At 46.9% G+C, this 24,985-nt stretch overlaps 1 protein-coding gene across 1 annotated transcript in view, besides 3 other annotated features; it reads left to right on the forward strand.

The window, feature by feature from the left end:
- The window catches only part of CDA (cytidine deaminase), a 29,807-nt gene extending 19,229 nt beyond the window's left edge, over nucleotides 1–10,578 (forward strand). Inside the window, exons 3-4 of the mRNA NM_001785.3 lie at nucleotides 5,517–5,574; nucleotides 10,127–10,578. Coding sequence (NP_001776.1) covers nucleotides 5,517–5,574; nucleotides 10,127–10,243 — 175 coding nt within the window. The 3' untranslated portion in view covers nucleotides 10,244–10,578. The remainder of the gene's footprint in view (nucleotides 1–5,516; nucleotides 5,575–10,126) is intronic.
- Nucleotides 5,501–6,439: an enhancer, noted in NCBI's record as "NANOG-H3K27ac-H3K4me1 hESC enhancer chr1:20940319-20941257 (GRCh37/hg19 assembly coordinates)". NCBI's record gives its function as "activates a minimal SCP1, AML or CMV promoter by ChIP-STARR-seq in primed H9 embryonic stem cells {active_cell/tissue: H9 hESC(primed)}" and the evidence as "EXISTENCE:reporter gene assay evidence [ECO:0000049][PMID:30033119]".
- Nucleotides 16,707–17,241: an enhancer, noted in NCBI's record as "OCT4-NANOG-H3K27ac-H3K4me1 hESC enhancer chr1:20951525-20952059 (GRCh37/hg19 assembly coordinates)". NCBI's record gives its function as "activates a minimal SCP1, AML or CMV promoter by ChIP-STARR-seq in naive H9 embryonic stem cells {active_cell/tissue: H9 hESC(naive)}" and the evidence as "EXISTENCE:reporter gene assay evidence [ECO:0000049][PMID:30033119]".
- Nucleotides 18,291–18,585: an enhancer, noted in NCBI's record as "tiled region #8954; HepG2 Activating non-DNase unmatched - State 24:Quies, and K562 Activating non-DNase unmatched - State 21:Repr". NCBI's record gives its function as "activates a minimal TATA promoter and a strong SV40 promoter by Sharpr-MPRA in HepG2 and K562 cells {active_cell/tissue: HepG2 | K562}" and the evidence as "EXISTENCE:reporter gene assay evidence [ECO:0000049][PMID:27701403]".

Below are 24,985 nucleotides of genomic sequence, written 5' to 3' on the forward strand. Positions count from 1 at the left end.
GGGTCTTAAGAAACGATTTCTGTAAAGTTCCTGACACAGGGTATGTAATACATTCAAACTATTATATAGTTTTGTTTTGTTTTGTTTTGTTTTGTTTTGTTTGAGAACAAGTCTCTCTGTGCCGCCCAGGCTGGAGTGTAGTGGCAAGATTTCGGCTCACTGCAACCTCCGCCTCCCAGGTTCAAGCGATTCTCATGCTTCAGCCTCCTGAGTAATTGAGACTACAGGTGCCGGCCAGCACGCCTGGCTAATTTTTGAATTTTTAGTAGAGACAGGGTTTCACCACGTTGACCAAGCTGGTCTCGAACTTCTGGCCTCAAGTGATCTGCCCACCTCGGCCTCCCAAAGTGCTGGGATTATAGGCATGAGCAACCGCATTCAGCCTCAAACTATTATATTGTTTTAAAGTTATCATTATTTCTTCTGCAAGCTGCAAAACTACCAAAGGCAGAGTGTGTAGATTTGGGGTTCAAATCCTGATTCTGCCACTTCACTAACTCTGTGGCCTTGGGCAAGTCGTTTCACCTTTCATGATCTACAGCATGCAGGTGATAAGAGCGCCTGCATACCCCGGCCCCTTACAGGGTTGTTGGGGGATTAAATGAACTAATCCACTTAAGGTCCTTAGCACAGAGGCTGGCACACAGAACCACTATGTATGTGTAAGCCATTACTGTTAATGCGCTGTCTCTACATCCTCAGTGCTAGGCTGCCTGGAAACACTATCCTGCGACTTTTGGTTGTTGAAGCCTACACCAAATCTACCTTCCCAGTGGAATGCATGCTTGCCCACCTTGAAATCCCTGATGCAGATCACCTTGTCCAGGGAGCTAGCCATTGGGTAGTGGGCCACAGATGCCACAAGATTCAGAAAGAAGGCCGGGCGCAGTGGCTCATGCCTATAATCCCAGCACTTTGGAAGGCCGAGGCAGGCGGATCATGAGGTCAGGAGATCGAGACCATCCTGCCTAACACGGTGAAACCCCGTCTCTACTAAAAATACAAAAAAAATTAACCAGGCGTGGTGGCGGGCACCTGTAGTCCCAGCTACTCAGGAGGCTGAGGCAGGAGAATGGCGCGAACCTGGGAGGCAGAGCTTGCAGTGAGCCGAGATCGCGCCACTGCACTCCAGCCTGGGCGACAGAGCGAGACTCCGTCTCAAAAAAAAAAAGATTCAGAAAGGAAGCGGTGAGCTCAGCAGGGGTCAGATCACACAGGGCCTTACAGGCCATGAAAGGAAGGCTGAATTTCATTCAGAGCAACTCTCCCATGGCCCTAACCATGCCTTTGTTACGGCATTTGTGTGAAATTTTATCTCCCCCTCCAGAGGGTAAGCTCCAGGAATTGTCCGATTGGTCTTTGTTGCTCCTTTCCCATGCCTGCCTGACATAGAGAAGGATTTTGGTCGACATGTCTGGAATGAAGTGAAGAATAACCCCCAAAAAGCTTAAGAGGCCCTGGCTGCAACAGCTGTCACCCAGTAATTCCAAGAGTTCACTCGGCATCCTGGGCAGGAGTCCCCACCCTCTTATGTGCCCGTGGGTTTTTCTTCTGAAGCTGGAAGCGTCCTCAGAGAGGTCCCCATCATCCCATGGAACAGAACCTTTCATTGACTGGACCCCCACATGTAAAAGGTAGTAATGGTGAGGATTAGAGAAAATAGCACCTCAGCTGCTTTATTCTAATCATAATATCATCCCTATCTCCACTTGACGCATGGTTGGTTGGTTGGTTGGGTGGTTGATCAGTTGCCTAGCTCCCCTCACTAGTCTATAAACTCCTGAGCATAGTGAATTTTGTCTGTTTTGTTCACTGCTGCACTCCTAGCACCAATGACAGTGCCCAGCACTGCTCAGTAAATATTTGTTGGTTGAAGTGAGACAATGCATATAAAATGCTTTGCAGAATGCCTGGCACATTCTAGGCACACATTATCTTTTTTTTTTTTATTTTATTTTATTTTTATTTTTATTTATTTATTTTTATTTTTTTTTGAGATGGAGTCTTGCTCTGTCACCCAGACTGGAGTGCAGTGGCATGATCTCGGCTCACTGCAACCTCTACCTCCCAGGTTCAAGCAATTCTCTGCCTCAGCCTCCCAAGTAGCAGGGATTACAGGCATCTGCCACCACGCCCGGCTAATTTTTGTATTCTTAGTAGAGACAGGGTTTCACCATGTTGGCCAGGCTGGTCTTGAACTCCTGACTTTGTGATCCACCCACCTCGGCCTCCCAAAGTGCTGGGATTACAGGCATAGGCACACATTATCTTAATAACAATTGTTGTTAAGATATAATAAGATGAATTATGAAATAGTACATAAATCACATAGCATATAATAAAACTGTGTATGATAAAGTACTAAAATTATGACAGAGCTTACATACGTAAGGAAATAAATGTCCAGCACTTAGAACAGGCAGTAACAATATGTATATAACATTCTAAAGTTTACAAAGTCTTCCATACACCTTATCTCATTTTATCTTCTAGCATTCTTACAAAGCAGATGACGTATCATCCACATTTTACAGCAAATAAATGAGACTTGGATGAGTTAAAATGACTTAGTCAAAGTCACACATAGCAAAAGGAAGAGCCAACTAAAAACCAAAATTTAAATCCTGTGTTCTGCCAGGCATGGTGGCTCATGTCTGTAATCCCAGTACTTTGGGAGGCTGAGGTGCAAAGATCTCTTGAGCCCAGAAGTTCAAGACCAGCCTGGGCAATATAGTAAGATCCTATTTCTACAACAAATCAGAAAATGAGTCAAGTGCGGTGGTGCGTGACTGCAGTCCCAGCTACTCAGGAGGCTGAGGTAGGAGGAGCCTTTGAGGCCAGGAGGCAGAGGCTGCAGTGAGCCATGATTGTGCCACTGCACTGTAGCCTAGACAACAGAACAAGACCCTGTCTCAAATAAATAAATAAATAAAAATCCTATGTTCTTCCAGAGATATCACAAAGCTGTGGGTCCAGAAGAGTAAGAAGGATGGTGGCTGCTGGCTTCACCTGTGGTGCAGGCTTGGAATTTTCCATCATCAAAGGCACTTGTTTGTTTTGTTTTGTTTTGTTTTGAGGCGGAGTCTCGCTCTGTCACCAGGCTGGAGTGCAGTGGCACCATCTCGGCTTACTGCAACCCCCGCCTCCCGGGTTCAAGTGATTCTCCTGCCTCAGCCTCCTGGGTAGCTGGGACTATAGGTGTGCACCACCACACCCAGCTAATTTTTGTATTTTTAGTAGCGATGGGGTCCCACCATGTTGGCCAGGATGGTCTCGGTCTCTTGACCTCATGATCCACCCACCTTGGCCTCCCAAAGTGCTGGGATTATAGGCGTGAGCCACTGTGCCTGGCCAAAGCCGCCTGTTTTAGGGACCAATCCTTGTCCTGCTCAGAGCTGGAGGTCTGCCTGTAGGAGCCTAAACTCTCACAGGCAATCCCTGGCTGGTGAGCTTCTTCAGTGCAAGGAGCCCATTTTTCTCTCTGAGACACATGCACTTTATTCTTTCATGCCTCAGGGCCTTTGCACATACTGTTTTTTTGTTTGTTTGTTTTTTGAGACAGGGTCTCACTCTGTCACCCAGGCTGGAGTGCGGTGGCACAATCACAGTTCACTGCAACCTCCGCCTCCCAGGCTCGAGTGATCCTCCCACCTCACTCTCCTGAGTTGCTGGGACTACAGGCCTGCACCACCACACCTGGCTAATTTTTTGTATTTTAGTAGAGATGCAGTTTCGCCATGTTGGCCAGGATGGTCTCGAACTCCTGACCTCAGGTGATCCATCCGCCTCAGCCTCCCAAAGTGCTGGGATTACAGGCATGAGCCACCACGCCCAACCTGCACATACTATTTATTTCCTTCGCCTACGACACAGAGAAACCCAGGGCTTCCGAATAGCATCTCTGCCTCTTCATCACACTGAACCTATCTCCTCACCCTTAAAGTGGCCATTCTGACATCTTGATGTCAGGCCTCTGAGCCCAAGCTAAGCGGTCTTAACCCCTGTGACCTGCACATATACATCCAGATGGCCTGGAGCAACTGAAGAACCACAAGAGATGACATTCCACCATTGTGATTTGTTCCTTCCCCACCCCAACTAACCAATCGATCTTGTGACATTCCACCCCCCCACCACCGACAATGAGTCTCACGGTCTCCCCACCCTGCACCGTGTGACCCCCGCCCCTGCCCACAAGAAAACAACCCCCTTTAACTGTAATTTTCCATTACCTACCCAAATCCTATAAAACTGCCCCACCCTGATCTCCCTTTGCTGACTCTCTTTGCAGACTCAGCCTGCCTGCACCCAGGTGACTAAAAAGCTTTATTACTCACACAAAGCCTGTTGGTGGGGCGGGGCGGGGTGGCTCATGCCTGGAGGCCGAGGTGGGCGGATCATGAGGTCAGGAGATCGAGACCATCCTGGCTAACATAGTGAAACCCCGTCTCTACTAAAATTACAAAAATTAGCCGGGCGTGGTGGTGCATGCCTGTAATCCCAGCTACTCGGGAGGTTGAGGCAGGAGAATCGCTTGAACCCGGGAGGCGGAGGTTTCAGTGAGCCAAGATCACGCCACTGCACTCCAGCCTGGGTAACAGAGCGAGACTCCATCTCAAAAAAAAAAAAAAAAAAAAGCCTGTTGGTGGACTCTCTTTACACAGACGTGCGTGACACCAGGCTGCTCTGAGAATTCCATGAATTAATGAATGTTGAGTGCCTGGTACAGAGCCTGGCATACAGTAGACATTCACTAAATGGTGACTTATGAACTCTACACTTCCTCCAAGGACCAGGACACATGCCTCCTCCTCCATAAAATCTTCCTTCTCAGTCCACAGGCAGGGATGAGCTCCCTCATACTGTGTGTTCCTTCTGCAATTTTTTTTTTTTTTGAGAAGGATTTTCATTCTTGTTGCCCAGGCTGGGGTGCTATGGCACGGTCTTGGCTCACTGCAACCTTTGCCTCCCGGATTCAAGCGATTCTTCTGCCTCAGCCTCCTGAGTAGCTGGGAGCTACAGGCGCCCACCACCAAGCCTGGGTAATTTTTGTATTTTTAGTAAAGACGGTGTTTTACCACGTTGGCCAGGCTGGTCTCGAACTCCTGCCCTCAGGTGATCCACCCACCTCGGCCTCCCAAAGTGCTGGGATTACAGGCGTGAGCTACCAAGCCCAGCTGCATTTTGTTTAACATGATAACTCAGCTGGTTTTTTACATAACAGAGACAAATTCTCTTTGACCTTTGTATTCCCGGGTGTGGGTGATGGTAAGTGCTCAGTAAACGTTTATGGATGGCACTAATGAAAGTCCTGCCCATGGCCCTGCCTTGTGGCAGTGTGGAAAGCCACCACGTGGCCTTCTCAGCCTTCAGGACACAGTGGATCTGTGAATCAGGAACTGCCTGATGGGGTATGACCCAAATCAGGAACAGACCGAGTCTCAGGGCCTGAATCTTAGCAATTGTCCTCAGTCCTTGGGAGAGACTAATTTGAGTTTGATTCTTTGCTTCCCCAGTGACATGCAAGATGATTTTATCTCTCCATGTGGGGCCTGCAGGCAAGTCATGAGAGAGGTAAGCAGCTTCTCTTGCTGTCTGGAATGCAAATATCTTCCCTGTCGCAGGCTATGGGAGCCACGCCAAGTTGCAGGCATGGCAGGCATGGCAGGCGTGGAGACACAGCTACTGTCCTGTTTGCTTGGTTGGCTGACTTCTAAGGCCTCCCTACGCTTGCATGAGTCACTGGAAATTATTCCTTCATTTAACAAATACTTACCGAGTGAGTGTCTGCTTTGTGCCAGGCCCTGAGGTAGCTCTGGGGAGGCACAGGGAAAAGATGGGCCAGGCCCTGCCCTCACAGAGCTCATAGGCTAATGCAGGAGACAGATGATAAACAAGGAGCAAAATAAATAAACAAACAGTGGCGTTTCTGAGTCAAGAGGGCTATAGAGGAAAACAAAATGCAGAAAAAAAAAAGGAGTCCAGTGACAAACGGGCAAACAGGGGACACTGCAGATTGGGGTCAGCAAACAACAGCCCTTGGGCCAAATCCAGCCTGCTGCTTGTATTTGTAAATAAAGTTTTATGGGTATACAGCCATGGCCATTCATTCACCTATTGTCCATAGCCACTTTGCCCTGACACAGCAGAGGTGAGCCATTACGACAAAGGCCACATGGCCTCTAAACCTAAGATATTTACTGTCTGGTCCTTGACAGAAAAAGGTTTGCCAACCCCTGCTTTAGATATCCAGGAAGGCCCTCTTTTTGAGCATGACATTTGAGCAGAAATATAAATAATGAGGAAAAAAATGAGACAGACAAAGGTCAAAAAAGGAGATTCAGAACCAGCAAGTTCAGACCCTTGGTGAATTTGAGAAGAGGCAAGAAGGCCACGAGGGCTAGAGAGCTAGGGCCTGGTAGGTGGAAGGAAAGCAATGGGATTGAAGTCAGAGGGGTGGGCAGAGGCCAGATCACATGGGGCCTGGCCATGGAACGAAGGGTACATTTTATTCCAAGAATAAAGGAAACTGAAGTGTACACTTTTTTTTTTTTGAGACGGAGTCTCACTCTGTCACCCAGGCTGGAGTGCAGTGGTAGAGTCTCAGCTCACTGCAACCTCCGCCTCCTGGGTTCAAGCAATTCTCCTGCCTCAGCCTCCCGAGTAGCTGGGACTACAGGCGCCAGCTACCATGCCCGGCTAATTTTTGTATTTTTAGTAGAGACTGGGTTTCACCATGTTGGCCAGGATGGTCTTGAACTCCTGACCTTGTTATCTGCCCACCTCGGCCTCCCAAAGTGCTGGGATTACAGGCGTGAGCCACCGCGCCCAGCCTGGAGTGTACACTTAAACATGGTTAAAATGGCAAATCTTACATTATATATATTTTATCACATTATATACATTGGGAAAAAAGGGAATAAAGGTAAGCCATTGGATATTTTCAAGAAGAAACTTGAAGGACTTTTTATAAAAGTCCTCTTGATGGAAGGCTGCAATTTCTTCAACTCTAAAAACAAAACGGTAAGCCAGGTATGGTGGCTCAGCCTGTAATCCCAGCAATTAGGGAGGCAGAGGCAGGAGGATCGCTTGGGTCCAGGAGTTCGAGACCTGCCTGGGCAACATAGCGAGACCCTGTTCTCCACAAAAAAAAAAAAAAAGGAATAAAACAAAACAAAAAAATGAAAACGAAGGGATAGTTTAGATCATGGGTTCTTAATCCAGGCTCAGGGGAAGGTTTTCATGTTTATATGTACGTTTGGGGAAAGGGGAATGTCAGTAACTATTGTGGATTCTCAAAGAGATCTGTGTCCTCTAGAGTCCCAAAAGATTAGAGAATCCCACAGGCCCTGAGCTCCAGCATAATATCAAGAGCCCCTCGAAATACGGCATCTTGTGGGCATGATGGCTTACACCTGTAAGCCCTGCACTTTGGGAGACTGAGGCAGGAGGATCACCTTAGCCCAGGAATTCAAAACCAGCCTGGGCCACATAGTAAAACCCGGTCCCTTCAAACAATTTAAAAATTAGCAAGGCATAGTGTGCACGCCTGTGGTCCTAGCTGCTCCAGAGGCTGAGGTAGGAGGATCACTAGAGCCTAGGAGGTCAAGGCTGCAGTGAGCTGTGATCAAGCCACTGCACTCCTGCCTGGGTGACAGAGCGAGATCCGGTCTCAAAAATAAATACATACCTACAGCATCTTGTTTAATCCCCTCCCCAAGACTGAGTGAAATGCATGTCGTTATTCCCATTTCCCAGTGACCACTCTGAGGCTCAGAGGAGTAAAATGACTTACTGAAGGGCCCCCTGCCAGGCGGTGACATATGGGTATCCATGGCCCATCAGGCTGACTCTGAAGCCCGTGCTCCTCACGGCTGCCTCTCTGTCTTTGTGGTTCTGTAAGTTGGACAAAATTATTTTCAACCATGGAGGAAACATAATGGTACTTTGGCATGTGGATGCTGCTTGTACCGTGGGAGTTTCTGCTTTTGGAGTTGTGTTTTGGGAGAAAGGGGGTTGTTTTAGCTTTGTTTTTGTGCCGTGGGGTTTCAAAGCATCTGGGGATGCAGACACTTCCATCTTCCTCCTGCTTCCTGCCAGGAGTGCAAATCAGACACATTTCCCAAATCCAAAAACATACCACCGGGAAAGCAGTGAATTTACACGGTGGAATTTGTCTCACTTGAGAGGGGCAGAAATAGCTGCCCTGCACGGTGGAAATGTCGAAGGTCATATAAGGAAGCCACAACAGGGCGCCAAGTCCCTGGCTCCCAAGGCCCCGACGTGGTCCAATTGCTCAGTGCTGTTTTCTCCAAACAGATTGGATGTTGGCAAACGAGAGAAGGCAAATGAAAAAGCTGAAGGAGGCAGGGGGGAAACTGAAACCAAATGCAAATGATAAGAGATGAGGCGTTGGGGCCAGGGACCTGACACGTAAACTCGCCCTCGGCTCAACTTTTGTCTGTACCTACCCTTAGGCACAGCCTGTCAAGCAGAAAAATTTCCTTCCTTAAAACATTAATTCTAAAAAAGCCAGAAGATTGAGTGTGCCCGGGAATAACTTGGTGATTCAGAGAGAAGTGTGGAAGAACAGGAGGCTGCAGACCTGAGCAGTCACTGGCTACCAACATAATCAATAAGAATGGCATCTATTAATTGAACACCTACTATGTGCATAGAGATGCTTTACATGAATCATCTCTGCATCTCAGAATACCTGGCCAGAAAGAGCTTAGGTCTGTTGACCCCACCTCCAGGGCTCTTGTCATGACACCGCTGCTGATTAACCTCTTGCCTACCATCCTGCATTCTCCCATCCCTAAAACCATTCCATGGACCAAGACACTGAGTGAGCCCCAGAAAGTTATCATTTTCCCAAGGTCACACAGCAAACAAACAGTGCTCCTCATAGTATAGGAGAAAGATCAAGAGACAAATTTTTCTTTGCTGACTTTACTCTGCTAAGCCTCAGTTTCCTCATCAGTAAAATGGGCATCATGATAGCACCTACCTCACAGGGTAGATTATGAAACCACGCATGTGCAGTATCTATGTGGTGTGGTTTGGCTGTGTCCCCACTCAAATCTCATCTTGAATTGTAGCTCCCATAATTCCCACATGTCATGGGAGGGACCTGGTGGGAGGCAATTGAATCATGGGGGCGGGTCTTTCCCACGCTGTTCTCGTGATAGTGAATAAGTCTCATGAGATCTGATGGTTTTATAAATGGGGGTTCCCTCACACAAGTCCTCTCTTGCCTGTTGCCAGGTAAGACATCCCTTTGCTCTTCCTTCCTCTTCCGCCATGGTTGTGAGGCTTCCCCAGCCATGTGGAACTGTGAGTCCATTAAACCTCCTTTTTTATTTTATTTTATTTTTTTTTTTTTTTGAGACCGAGTCTCGCTCTATGGCCAAGGCTGGACTGCAGTGGTGTGATCTTGGCTCACTGCAACCTCTGCCTCCCGGGTTCCAGAGATTCTCCTGCCTCAAGCCTTCTGAGTAGCTGGGATTACATGTGCTTGCCACCACGCCTGGCTAATTTTTGTATTTTTAGGAGAGATGAAGTTTCACCATGTTGGCCAGGCTCATCTCGAACTCCTGACCTCAGGAGATCCGCCTGCCTCGGCCTCCCAAAAGTGCTGGGAGTACAGGCGTGCGCCACAACACCCGGCCTAAACCTCTTTTCTTTATAAATTACCCGGTCTCAAGTATGTCTTTATTAGCAGCTTGAGAACAGACTAATACACTGAGTATATGTAGCAGGCTTGCAGCTTCTCCTGGTGTGAGGTGTAAAGGGGATACTGAAGGGAAGCGGGTGTTAGTTGTCATTTGTCATAGCAGAAGGAGGTTCCAGGGGTTAGCTGTTGCTCTTATAAAGCCCTGGGTGAGTCTTGAATGGTGCCTGTTCACGATGTACCATGCACTGTTCAGTTTCACAGCATTCTTTCGTTTCCTCCTCCCTGCAGCACTATGATCCAGGTACAATTATGGTCATTCCCCTTTTACAGATGAGAAAATCAAGGTAAAGAGAGGAACATTAGACAGTGGCAGAGTCAGACTCAGACCCAGTCCGTCTCAGCCCCCTCAGCCACGCTGTGTCTCTCACGCCAGCTTTGCCTCTTTTCCAGTTTGGCACCAACTGGCCCGTGTACATGACCAAGCCGGATGGTACGTATATTGTCATGACGGTCCAGGAGCTGCTGCCCTCCTCCTTTGGGCCTGAGGACCTGCAGAAGACCCAGTGACAGCCAGAGAATGCCCACTGCCTGTAACAGCCACCTGGAGAACTTCATAAAGATGTCTCACAGCCCTGGGGACACCTGCCCAGTGGGCCCCAGCCCTACAGGGACTGGGCAAAGATGATGTTTCCAGATTACACTCCAGCCTGAGTCAGCACCCCTCCTAGCAACCTGCCTTGGGACTTAGAACACCGCCGCCCCCTGCCCCACCTTTCCTTTCCTTCCTGTGGGCCCTCTTTCAAAGTCCAGCCTAGTCTGGACTGCTTCCCCATCAGCCTTCCCAAGGTTCTATCCTGTTCCGAGCAACTTTTCTAATTATAAACATCACAGAACATCCTGGATCAAAGCGTGTGTCTTGCTCTGTCTCTATCCTTGCTTGCAGCTCTTAGGAGGGACAGCATGATTTGTCTTTATAGGAAGAGCTGGACTCTTTCTGTTCGGAGAGGAAATGGGTACCTTGGAACCATGGACCTTATGGTGTGGAGAGCTGAGGTTTTAGGCAACTTGCCCCAGCGTTCTCTAAACGGGCAGCTCCCCTGGGCTGGACCTAACTGCCAATAACCATCCTAGAGTGTGTTTTTGTCTCATCATAGACCTGAGCACCAGGAGACTCCAGAGTATAAAGGGTCAAGCACGGTTTGTCTAGACAGTGTAACAAAGGGTTTTCTCAGTAGCTACTGTATGTCAGGTAATTTGTGTGCATCATTTTAAGTTTAACATGCTCCACAGTTCTGTGAGGAGGGTGTGGAGATGCCCCCTTTTCACAGATGAGAGCACTGGGCTTTGGAGAAGTTGAATACCCTGCTCTAGGACAATGGCAAACCTCAGAACAGAATCCAGGCCCCTTAACCCCCACTGTGGTCCGGAAACATTGCATGCTTTTTGCCATGCACTGCGCTAAGGTGTGTGACATATATGAACCCGTTCAGTCCTCATTTGTCAAACTCAAAGGTTAATTATTAGTGTTCTCAATTTAGAAATAAGCAACTCGAAGCTCAGAGTGATTGAGTTGCTCACCCAAAGTCACACAGCTGATGTGGCAGAACTGGAATCAGAACTAGATCTGTCTGGGCCGGGCAAGGTGGCTCACGCCTGTAATCCCAGCACTTTGGGAGGCCGAGGAGGGCAGATCACCTGAGGTCAGGAGTTTGAGACCAGCCTGGCCAACATAGTGAAACCCTGTCTCTTCTAAAAAATACAAAAATTAGCCGGGCGTGGTGGCAGGTGCCTGTAATCCCAACCACTCAGGAGGCTGAGGCAGGAGAGTCATTTAAACCCAGGAGGTGGAGGTTGCAGTGAGCCGAGATTGTGCCACTGCCCTCCAGCCTGGGTGACAGAGTGAGACTCCGTCTCAAAAACAATAACAACAAGGATTCCAAGGATTTTTTTCCATTCCCCCATAACTGATGTCTCAATTTACTGATTATCTTTTATATGTCAAATATTCTAAATATTGCAGAGAAAAACAGCCTCTGCCCTTGAACTCCCAGCCTGACAGATTGAGAGAAAGAGAGGTGTACACAGGTCTAATGCACAGGAGTGCACACTGTGATCCAGGCAGAACCAAGTGTCAGGTGGGTGTGTCGGGGAGCCTGCTGCTGTCTGGAGTGTGAGGACAGGGAGGGACTGTTTCTTTCATGGGTGCATTGGTTATCACACATGCACAAAATTAGGAAGGTCAGGACTGAATAAGGAAGGAGACAGGGTGGGTGCTCTGGAGGGGGATGACAGCTCCAGGAGCCCTCCCAGGAGGAGTTGGTCTTGGGGCTGGCTCATTGGGTGGGGTAAGAATACAGCTTAGGTTTCCTGTTCCCAGGGCAAGCAAGTACCTAGGGGCACCCAAGTGGACATCACCCCTTCCCTGGAAGCCCTTTCCACCCTGATCCAGTGTTGCCACCTGATGAGAATGGCTTTGCCACAACACACTCAGACTTATCTGCTGGCATCTTGGGAGCATCCCAGTCATTCCAGCATGGCTATATGACACACAACTCCATTCTGCTTTTATTTTATTTTATTTTATTTTTTTTGAGATGGAGTCTCACTCTGTCACCCAGGCTGAAGTGTAGTGGTGCGATCTCGGCTCACTGCAACCTCTGCTGCCCGGGTTCAAGTGATTCTCCTGCCTGAGCCTCCCAGGTAGCTGGGATTACAGGCACCTGCCACTGCACCTGGCTAATTTTCGTAGTTTTAGTAGAGACGGGGTTTTACCATCTTGGCCAGGCTGGCCTTGAACACCTGACCTCATGATCCACCCGCCTCGGCCTCCCTAAGTGCTAGGATTACAGGTGCGAGCCACCACGCCCGGCCTGGCTTTCTTTAGAAATGGCTTTGGTGGCTGAGCACAGTGGCTCACACCTATAATCCCAACACTGTGGGAGGCTGAGGTAAGAGGACCTCTTGAGGTCAGGAATTCAAGACTAGCCAAGTAAACAGTGAGATTCTGTCTCTAAAATAAACAAATAATTAAATTAATTAAATAATAAAATAAACTAAATAAATTAAATTAGCTTGGCCTTATGATGCTTGCCCGTGGTCCCAGCTACCCAGGAGGCTGAAGCAGACGGATCTCTTGAGGCCAGGAGTTCAGGGCCACAGTGGGCCATGATTGCATCACTGCACTCCAGCCTGGACAACAGAGTGAGATACTGTCTCTAAAACAACAACAGGCCAGGCACAGTGGCTCACACCTATAATCCTAGCACTTTGGGAGGCCGAGGCAGGTAGATCACTCCTGACTTGAGGTCAGGAATTCGAGACCAGCCTCTCCAACATAGCAAAACCCTGTCCCTACTAAAAATACAAAAAATCAGCCAGGCGTGGTGGTGCGTGCCTGTAATCCCAGCTACTCAGGAGGCTGAGGCAGGAGAATCGCTTGAACCCAGGAGGCAGAGGTTGCAGTGAGCTGAGATTACGCCACTGCACTCCAGCCTGGGCAACAAAAGTGAAGCTCCATCACAAAAAAATAAAATAAAATAAAGGCCCAGTGTTTGACCCTCAGTAAATTCTCCGTAAATCTTGGCTGTTAACCCTCAACAAGGGTGATAAATTTTGTTTTTTTTAAGGATGGATTTGTTTTTGCAAAATTTTACAGCCTTTTTTTTTTTTTTTTTGTGAGATAGAGTCTCCCTCTGTTGCCCAGGCGGGAGTGCAGTGGCGTGATCTCGGCTCACTGCAGCCTCTGCCTCCAGGGTTCAAGTGATTCTCCTGCCTCAGCCTCCTGAGTAGCTAGGATTACAAACGCCCACCACTACGCCCATCTAATTTTTGTATTTTTAGTAGAGACGGGGTTTCACCATGTTGGTCAGGCTGGTCTCGAACTCCTGACCTCAAGTGATCTGCCTGCCTCAGCCTGCCAAAGTACTGGGATTACAGGGGTGAGCCACTGCATACAGCCTATACGTTCTTTTCACAATTTTTTTTTTAATTATTATTATTTTTTTGAGACGGAGTCTCACTCTGTCGCCCAGGCTGGAGTGCAATGGCATGATCTCAGCTCACTGCAAGCTCCGCCTCCCGGGTTCACGCCATTCTCCTGCCTCAGCTTCCCAAGTAGCTGGGACTACAAGCGCCCGCCACCATGCCCGGGTAATTTTTTGTATTTTCAGTAGAGACGGGGTTTCACCGTGTTAGCCAGGATAGTCTCGATCTCCTTACCTCGTGATCCGCCCGCCTCAGCCTCCCAAAGTGCTGGAATTACAGGCATGAGCCACCACGCCCAGCCTCTTTTCACAATTATCTATCGGTGCTTACTGCTGAGACCAGTTCCCAGGGACACAGCAGTAAGCGAGGCAAAGTCTTTGCCCTCACAGAGCTCCTAGTTTATCAGTGGGAAAATGAGATCTACATGATTATAGTACTTCATGACAAGTGAAGAAAGCCCTGGCAGCAAGCAGCAGAAAGAGCAGAACTTGGCTGGGCACAGTGGCTCATGCCTGTAATTCCAGCATTTTAGGAGGCTGAGGCAGGCGGATCTCTTGAGTCCAGGAGTTCAAGACCAGCCTGGGCAACATGGTGGAACCCCATCTCTACAAAAAGTTTAAAAAATTAGGCCAGCCATGGTGGCTCACGCCTGTAATCCCAGCACTTTGGGAGGCCAAGGCGGGTGGGTCACGAGGTCAGAAGTTCGAGACCAGCCTGACCAACATGGTGAAACCCCATCTCTACTAAAAATACAAAAATTAGCCAGGTGTGGTGGCACATCCTGTAATCCCAGTTACTCAGGAGGCTGAGGCAGAAGAATCGCTTGAACCCAGGAGGCACAGGTTGCAGTGAGCCGAGATCATGCCACTGTAGTCCAGCCTGAGCGACAGAGCGAGACTCTGTCTCCAAATAAATAAATAAATAAATTTTAAAAATTAGCAGGGTGTGGTGGCAGGCACGTGTAATCCCAGCTTCTCAGGAGACTGCCATGAGAGGATCACTTGAGCCCGTGAGGTGGAAGATGCAGTGAGCCGAGATTGCACCACTGTACTCCAGTCTGGATGACAGAGCCAGACCCTGTCTCAAAAAAAAAAAAAAAAGAAAGAAAGAGAAAACAAAGAATAAAACTTGCCTTCATGCAAGACCACCCGGAGGAGAGGATGTTTTAGTCAGAGCAGAGAAGTGTCATCCAGTAAGAGAATGGGGTTTGGAGAAGGGTAAAATATGAGACTGATGGAAGGACTAAGCCTAGTATCCTTATACTATGTGGAAACAATCTATGGAAGGCGATTCTCAAAGGATTCTAGAGATTCTTCAACAATGGCCTCTTGGAAGAACAATACTCATTTGCCTGGAGAGAGGCAATAAAAGCATTTTCACTTTGCAGCCCCATTGTACAGAACACAGCGCGGAGGACATGCGTTTTCGGAGCAGTCCCATTGTGCAGAATGCAGTGCTGAGGACATGTGTTTTCGGAGCAGCTCATGTTCTTTTTTTTTTTTTTTTTTTTTTTTTTTTGAGACGGAGTTTCACTCTTGTTGCCCAGGCTGGAGTGCAGTGGCGTGATCTCGGCTCACCGCAACCTCCGCCTCCCAAGTTCAAGCGATTCTCCTGCCTCAGCCTCCCGAGTAGCTGGGATTACAGGCATGTGCCACCACGCATGGCTAATTTTGTATTTTTAGTAGAGACGGGGTTTCTCCATGGTGGTCAGGCTGGTCTCCAACCCCCGACCTCAGGTGATCCGCCCACCTTGGCCTCCCGAAGTGCTGGGATTACAGGGGTGAGCCACTGCGCCCAGCCTGTGTTTAATATTTTGTATATGGTGATATGAGCACGGGAACAGATGTGATAGGAATGCCCAATCTGTAAACACAGTTTTTGATGGGTACAGGAAAGAGGCGTTAAGAAGATTAAATTGTTAGGCTGGGCATGGTGGCTCACACCTATAATACCAATACTCTGGGAGGCCGAGGTGGACGGATCACCTGAAGTCAGGAGTTCAAGACCAGCCTGCCCAACATGACAAAACCCAGTCTGTACTAAAAAGACACAAAAATTAGCCAGGTGTGGTGGCACACGCCTGTAATCCCAGCTACTCAGGAGGCTGAGGCTGGAGAATCACTTGAACCCAGGAGGCAGAAGTTGCAGTGAACTGAGATCACACCACTGCACTCCAGCCTGGGTGACAGAGTGAGACTCCATCTCAGAAAAAAAAAAAAAAAAAAGGAAAACTCTATGACTGAATAGAAAACTATATGGCATAATGGTGACATTAGTTATCTATTGCTGTATAGCAAGTTACTCCAACATTTAGTGGCGGAGGACAACAAATACTTATCATCTCACAGTCTCTGTGGGGCAGGATTCTGGGCTGAGCCAGCTTCTATGGCTCGAGGTCTCTTACAAAGTGGCAATGAATATGTCAGGAAGGGCTTCAGTCTCATCGGAAGATTTGACTGGGGGTGGATCCACTTCAAAGCTCACTCAGTTTCTGGCAGGATTCAGTTCACTGTGGGCTGTTGCTGTTACTATTCAGTTCCTTGCTATGTGGGCCTCTCCACAGGGCAGTTTACAACCTGGAAGCTCACTTCTCTTAGAACAAGCAAGCAAGACAGAAACCAGAGTCTTTGGAATGTCATGAAAGTGACAGTCCATCACTTTTGACAAATTTAGTCCACAGAAGCAAGGCATTAACATCCAGCCCACAATCCAGAGGAGGGGATAATATATATGGCATAAATGCCAGGAGGTGGGTATTCTAAAGATGTAAAAATTCACAATGTACATGAACAAGGAAAACAAAATAAAATTAAAAAGTAGATAAGCATGGTGGAAGGGTCAGAAGATGCAGGCCTGGTTAGCCCTGTTAAGGAGTTTGACTTTATTCCAAAGGGCAGCCATCAGTTTCAGGTGTGGGTCACGTGGTCAGCTGTATACCTTAAATATCTCAGTTTGCTAAATCAAGAAATAGTAGAGGCTGGCCACCATGGCTCATACCTGTAATTCCAGCATTTTGGGAGGCTGATGCAGGAGGATCTCTTGAGGCCAGGAGTTTGAGATCATCCTGGGCAATGTGGCAAGACCCTGTCTCTACAAAAAATTTAAAAATTAGCTGGATGTGGTGGTGTGACCACCAATGGGTTCCTCCTGCCCACTGCACAAACAAAAATCATGGCATTGCAGTGAAGAAAGAGTTGAATAGACATGAGGCCAGCCATGCCACTTGGGAGACAAAATCATTACTCAAGTCAATCTCATCAAAGGCTCCTAGGTTAGGAGTTTTTCAAAGGCAGTTTGGGGAAAGGGGTGGGGCTGGCTAGGTAATGGGTGCTTGCTGCTGATTGGTTGGGTCAGAGATGAAATCAAGGGAGTTGAAGCCTCTTCTTGCACTGTGTGGGGTCACAGGAGCAGTGGAGCCATTGACTGGGGGGTCCAGGTGGAGCCATGGGTGTCAGACATGCAAAAAACTTGAAAAGGTATCTCAAAAGGCCAATCTACAATAGTGATGTTATTCGCAGGAGTAATTGGGGAAGTTGCATATCTTGTAACCTCCAGAATAATGGCTGGCAATCATTTATGTCTATACCTTAGCAGAGTTCAGGCTCCCCTTCCCCCAGCCTGGTGGCCTTTCATTAGCTTTGCAAAGAGAGTTGAGTTTGGGGAAGGGCTATTATCATTTAAACTATAAAGTAAATGTCTTTCAGAGTTAGCTCAGCCTAAACCCAGGAATAATTAAGGCAACTTGAAAGCTAAAGGCAAGAGTGGGGAGGTTGGCTATATCAGATCTCTCCCACTGCCATAATTTTCTCACTGCCATAATTTTTGCAAAGGTGGTTTCAGTGGCTCACACCTATAGTCCTAGCTACCTGGGAGTCTAAGCCATGAGGAGCGCTTGAACCCAGGATTTGGAGACTGTGAGCTATGATCTCGCCATTGCACTCCAGCCTGGGCAACAGAGCAAGACTTTGCCTTGGAAGAAAAGGAAGGGAGGAAGGAAGGAAGAAAGGAAGAAAGGAAGGAAGGAAGGGAGGAAGGAAGGAAGGAAGGAAGGAAGGGAGGAAGGAAGGAAGGAAGGAAGGAAGGAAGGAAGGAAGGGAGGAAGGAAGGAAGGAAGGAAGGAAGGGAGGAAGGAAGGAAGGAAGGGAGGAAGGAAGGAAGGAAGGAAGGAAGGGAGGAAGGAAGGAAGAAAGGAAGGGAGGGAAGGACGGAGAGAGGGAGGGAGGGATGGAGGAAGAAAAGGTAGAGATATGAAGAAAACTATCAGAAAAAAGCTAAAAAGGTAAAAAATCATTGTCTCCAGGCTGGGGCATTAGGTTTACAAAGAGTTGGGACAGAAGATTGTTGCTTTTCATTATAAGCCTATCTACATAAGCTCTTAGTATTTTTTAAACCATGTATTTATATTACTTTTATTTAAAATAATTATTAATTAAAAACAACAACAGCAGAGCTCACACCTGCAATCCCAGCACTTTGGAAGGCCAAGGTAGGCAGATTGCTTGAGCCCAGGAGTTCAAGATCAGCCTAAGCAACATAGAGAGACCCCTCTCTTAAAAACAAAACAAACGATCAAAGAAAAAAACAGAAAGTGGATAAAAAAGAAACCATGGAAAGGAAATTCATTTGGCAATGATGTGGTGCACATTCTAAAGCATAAATGCAGTAGTTGATTCTGTTGGGGTGGGGATGTGAGTTCTTAATACTCCTGTTTCCTTCCAGCCTTTCTCCACCCCTCCCCTCACTCCTGCTGGGAAGGAAGAGTGACTCATGATTGGGGAGTTTCAAAGTGTCACCCAGCCCCTTCCTCTCAGCTTCCCCTTGGGCATAAGCCTGCCCACTAAGGGCTTGAATTCCCAATTGTGTCTCAAACAAGTGCTGGGGACCCAACAGGCCCCATGCTAGGTGCTGAGGGATATGAGATTTAAACATCACAATCCCTGTCCTTACAGAACTCACATTTTAGTGGGAGAGACAAAGAAGGGACATCTAGTACAGTCCAGAGAAGGTCAAAGAAGGCTTCCTGGAGGAGGTGACCTCAAGTATGAATGGAGATTCTTTCAGGCAGTAAATCAACCCAGAGGAGTCACCATGGTGGTTGAGACAACTGGAAGTAATTTAGAAGTAATTGAGTGATGCTGGACCATAAAAGGCAGGGTGGGGGACAGTAAGAAGGATGCTAAATAGTGAGGAATGTTGTGTGCCAGGCTGAGGAGCCTGGGCTTTATCCCAAGGGCAGTGGGCAAGGGTACAGAGCTTATGAAGATTTTATACGCAGTAGGCAACATGGCCATATTTGTAATGTGAACAACCACTGCAGGACAGCAAATATATTGGATGAAGGAACCACAGATTGCCTGGGTTTCTTAACAGAGCAATCTCTCCCTGCTCCACCATCACTATGTTTTCATCCGTCTTGCCCTGACAACATAGGGATGCTTCCTTCCAATGAAATCTCACTTTCTGCCCACTGTGGTCTTCTTCTAACCTCCAAAAACTACCGCCCAGGAGTTTCAAGTAGCAGGATTTTGATCTGGCTGCACCTTTGCTCTGTCAACAGTTTTAGCAAAACCGCCTTCCACCTCTGCAGACAATTTAGAGATAGCACTTCTGAAATGGTCTGTGGATAAAGGATGTTGCTGCTCTGGGAAAATGTGTCTGCCTCCTGCCAGCAGGAGACAAAGAGCACTGAAACTGTGCCAAAGGATGCTGTCCAGAAAGGGAAGGTCAAACAGCCCTCAACATTCTCTTTGTTGAAGTCTTGCCTTTTTCCATTTTTACATTCAAATCAGCTTCCCCACCCCCATGTCCTTTGGGTGGGAGGGAGGTTAAATAATGCTTCTTAAGAAGATTATGTACTTTCCCAAAACTCCACAGTCCTTGCCCACCAGGAGGGAAAAGGTAGTGAAATATAAACCAAAAATAAAATTCTAAACCCCCCAACCATCTGAATGGACTCCCCCTCTCAGTCAAGGGCATTCCAAAGTTAACCTGAAAAAGTAGTTCAGGCCATGATAGGAAGGGGGATTCAGATATGCCTCATTATTCCTTCCTTCCTTTTGAAATTCAGGTCCAGCTGACCAGCATTAACATCAACACAGACCTTAAGACTGATAGGCTCTAAGTCTGATGAGAAATATTTACAACGTATTCTCTCTGAAGCCTGCTACCTGGAGGCTTCATCCGCATGATAAAACCTTGGTCTCCACAACCCCTTATCTAACCAGACATTTCTTTCCACTGATGCCACGTTTTTAGATAATCACTCTTTCAACCAATTGCCAATCAGAAAATCTCTGAATCTACCTATGACCTGGAAGCCCCCAATTCCAGTTGTCCCACCTTTCTGGACCCAACTAATGTATATCTTACATGTATTGATTGATGTCTTATGTCTCCCTAAAATGTATAAAACCAAGCTGTAGTCTGACCACCTTGGGCACATATTCTCAGAATCTCCTGAGGGCCATGTCACAGGCCATTTGTCACTCATATTTGGCTCAGAATAAACCTCTTCAAATATTTTACAGAGTTTGATTCTTTTCATTGACAGAAGATACAAGGATGCCTACGGAATGGAATGTAGACCAAAAAAAAATAATAATAGTAATGTGGCCGCTCCATCAAGTCCCCCACTCCATTCTCCTCTAATTCTGTGGCTGGGCATATCAAAGCCTACCTGGTAAAGAGTTGATGTTCTGTGAATGAATGAGACTTTCATACAGAATATTAAATCTGCAATATAAACAGATATTCATCAGAAAACCATATACTATCATGTACTCCATAAATATATACACATACTATGTATTCATAAAAATTTTTTAAAAACCAACCAAACATGGCCAGGCATGGTGGCTCATGCCTGTAATCCCAGCACTTTGGGAGGCTGAGGTGGGCAGATCACCCGAGGTTGGGAGTTCAAGACCAACCTGACCAACATGGAGAAACCCCATCTCTACTAAAAATACAAAAATTAGCCAGGTGTGGTGGCACATGCCTGTAATCCCCCCTACTCAGGAGGCTAAGGCAGAAGAATTACTTGAACCCAGGAGGGGGAGGTTGCGGTGAGCCAAGATCACGCCATTGCACTCCAGCCTGGGCAACAAGAGCGAAACTCCATCTCAAAAAAAACAAAAACAAAAAAAACCAACCAAACAAAAACTATTTATCATTGTATTAGTCTGTTTTCATGCTGCTGATAAAGACATACCTGAGACTGGTAAGAAAAAGAGGTTTAATTGGACTTACAGTTCCACATGGCTGGGGAGGCCTCAGAATCATGGCGGGAGGCAAAAGGCACTTCTTACATGGTGGCGGCAAGAGAAAATGAGGAAGATACAAAAGTGGAAACCCCTGATAAAACTATCAGATCTCATAAGACTTATTCACTACCACAAGAATATTATGGGGGAAACCACCCCCATGATTAAAATTATCTCCCACTGGGTCCCTCCCACAACATGTGGGAATTATGGGAGTACAATTCAAGATGAGATTTGGGTGGGGACACAGAGCCAAAACATATCAATCATATATCCAATTTCACCTTTTTGGGATACCATTAAAGAGATGAGAGGCCAGGGGCAGTGGCTCATTCCTGTAACCCCAGAGATGTGGTGGGAGTATCACTTAATGCCAGGAGTTCGAGACCAGCCTGGGCAAATAGCAAGACCCCATCTCTACAAAATATTTTTTAAATTAGCTGGACATAGTGGTGTGAGCTGTAGTCCCAACTATTTGGGAAGCTGAGGGAGGAAGGTTGCTTGAGCCCAGGAATTCAAGACTGCAATGACCCATGATCATACCACTGCACTCTAGCCTGGGTGACAGAACAAGACCCTGTCTCATAAATAAATAAATAAATAAATAAATAAAAAGATGGGAGATGTTATGGGAGAATCTCAAGATGATTCCTTGAGACCTGAGACCCATGGCACCACCATAAAAAGAATTTTTCCTTCTCAGGAGGATAGACAGGGATGAATGGAGTCAGGACCATTGTCCCTGGGAAATGCATGCCTGTGCCCCTGGCACAGTAAGGCTGTATCTCTGACCTGAGAGGTGAGAATGCAGAACCCCTGAAATCCTTGCTGGAAACCTCTCTCTTCCAAAATCCACTTACTTGTCCATTCCATACAGATGTCTGCCAAAGAATCAAGCTTCATGCTGTGCTTGATTCAGACCTGTCAGACTTCAGATTTTTCTACAGATGGAGAAGTGAGTAAGTCCAGCCTACAATGGAAGGTTAATTAACATCAGTCTGGAGATTTCATTTCCAGCTGATGGATTACGTATCGCAGGTCCAGTGAGTTCATTTGCAGCTCAGGGGAACAAATGCAAAGGCTTAAGACAAACGTACTCTTTAACTCAAGACAACCAATACAATGTCTTATAAGCTGTGTGGTCATCATAAGCCTCATACTAAAAGGTTATGTTCCTGGGAGATTAAAGAAAATCTTTGTAGTTGAAACATTAAATATCTCAGAGAACCTCTTTTTCCTTCTCTATAAACATTAAAGAGAGGAGCTATAATGGTAATGTTGACCAAAAAAAAAAAAAGCCAAATTCTGTAAATTATTTAAAGAGGTTTATTCTGAGCCAGTATGAGTGATCATGGCTCAGAGTACAGTCTCAGGAGGTCCTGAGAAAGGATGCCCAAGGTGGCTGGGTTACAGCTTGGTTTTATACATTTTAGGGAGACAGAAGTGACAGGCAAAAATATAAATCAATACATGGAAGGCATATACATTGGTTCAGCCTGGAAAGGTGGAACATCTTGAAGCAGTGGATGCTCATAGGTTCTACGTGGAGTCAAAGATTTTCTGACTGGCAATTGGTTGAAAGAGTTAAGCTTTGTCTGAAGAATTGAACTCAGTAGAAAGAAACGCTTGAGTTAAGATAAGGGGGGTTGCAGAAGCCAAGGTTTTGTGCTGACTCAGCACACGAGGACGGTGTCAACTCCCTATGACTTCATCTCTGACCCAACCAATCAGCACTCCCCACTTTCTGACCCCCTACTCACCAAATTATCCATAAAAACCACCATCCTTGAGTTTTCAGGGAGATTGATTTGAGTAATAATAAAACTCTGGTTTCCCATACAGGTGGCTCTGTATGAATTAAACCCATTCTCTATTGCAATTCCCCTGTCTTGATAAATCAGCTCTGTCTAGGCAATGAACAAGGGGAACCCAATGGACAGCTATGATACCAGCGTCAGGCTGGAATTTGGTATCTTATTGTCAGTCTTATGTGCACTATTGAATATTAATGCTGGTCAGTCGTGGCTAAACTCCAAAAGGGAGGGGGTATAAGGAGGCGTGTCCAACCTCCCTTCCTTTCATGGCCTGAAATTTAGTTTTTTAGGTTTTCTTTGGCCCAGAGGGGGTCCATTTAGTCAGTTGGGGAGCTTAGAACCTCATTTTTAGTTTACAGTAATGAGACACAGCAGATGAGTAGATTGATTTTATTTTAAGACAGAGTCTCACTCTGTCACCCAGGCTGGAGTGGAGAGTGGAGTGGCACAATCACAGCCCACTGCAGCCCCAACCCCCTGGACTCAAGCAATCCTCCTGCCTCAGACTCCCAAGTAGCTGGGACCTCAGGCACTTGCCACCATGCCTCGCTGGGGTCTTTTAAATTATTATTATCTGTAGTGACAGGGTCTCCCTATGTTGCCCAGGCTGGTCTTGAACTCCTGGCCTCAAGCGATCCTCCCACCTCAGCCTCCCCACGTGCTGGAGTGAACCACTGCAAACCTGGCTTCAGACGAGTGGATTTAAACTTTAAATCCACTCATCTGTGCCCCAACTAAGTTTCCATGAGTGAGCCTGTGGTTACTGGAATGTGAGATTTCTCCAACTTTCTTTCCCTTATCATTCTTCAAATTACAACTTCAGTGGAGCATTTAAAATTATAATTAAAAATTCCCTGAGGTTGATCCAAAAAATTAAATATCTGATATTCATGTGCCTCTATACAAATGGGAAATTCATCTATGCCTCTCCCAAATAAATATGATTGGATATCACAAGAACCATAAAATTCCTCCCTTAAGGAAGATTATGAGAGAGACCAGCACACACACACACAGTGCAAGCTAAAGCAACCCCGTCTTGGATGCTAATCCACCAAGTTGATGTGTTTTGTTGGTTTTTTGGTTTTGTTTTGAGACAGAGTCTCACTCTGTCGCCCAGGATAGAGTGCAGTGGTGTGATCTTTGCTCACTACAACTTCCACCTCCTGGGTTCAAGCGATTCTCCTGCCTTAGCCACCTGAGTAGCTGGGATTACAGGCGTGTGCCACCACGCCCAGCTAGTTTTTGTATTTTTAGTAGAGATGGTGTTTTGTTGGCCAGGCTGGTCATGAACTTCCGGACTCAAGTGATCCACCTGCCTCAGTCTCCCAAAATGCTGGGATTACAGGCTGTGAGCTACCACACCCGGCCAACCAAGTTGACTTCTGATTAACCAGCTTTTAGGGAAGGCCTCTAAGATTTCCAGTTTATCTATTGTTCCTTGTGTAAAAGTATGTACTTACCATAAATCCTGCCCTTAGGCAGATTCACACAGCATTCTTGCCTTTCCCTGGGGGACTGACTTCAAATGTCCGTCACATTCCTTTCCTATAGCATATAGGCCCTGGGTCTTGGGGGTAATGGCATGGGGATCCACCATCTTGTCTCCCTGCCGCTGAAGCCAGAGACTATGGCTTCTGTTCATAAATCCCTTTCTCCTTAAATATGAAGTCAAAGGTCATGTAGATAGGAGCTGCTGCTGAAGAAGGGATTTTTTGTCTGAAGAGTTCTGTCCCCTGGGCTTACTTGGCTATGGGGTGGACCCCTGGCCAGGAGACAGCAAACTGTTTCAGTAATGTGCGTGTCGTGCGTGTGTGTGTTCTGTGGTGAGCAGGCCTATGCCATTAAACAAACGGTGTGGCTTTGGGCAAGCTGCTATCTTGGGACCTCAGCACACTCATTCATAAATTGTGTCTTTTGGGTGAGATTTGTCTTGGGGTCTTCAAAACCCCTGAGACTGTGGACACATACAGCAGCCTAACGGCATTGAGGAGGGCAAGCATTCAACAGTTAGGACAATGTGAACTGTAGCTCAGCTCTGCTAGGTACCTTCACAAGACCTCGAATGCTGCCCCTTACTATGCCTCGGTTTTCTTATCTATAAAAACGGCATTTTTATCTTGTTGGTGGAGCTGTTAAATAAATTAAAAGACGTAAAGGGTCTGGCACCATGGTTGGCAAAAAATATCAGTTTCCCTTCTCGACTTCTCGATTTTGCCCAGGACCAGTGATGTTCACATTCAGGACCT

This window comes from Homo sapiens, chromosome 1 (assembly GCF_000001405.40).
Source record: "Homo sapiens chromosome 1, GRCh38.p14 Primary Assembly".
NCBI lineage: Eukaryota > Metazoa > Chordata > Mammalia > Primates > Hominidae > Homo > Homo sapiens.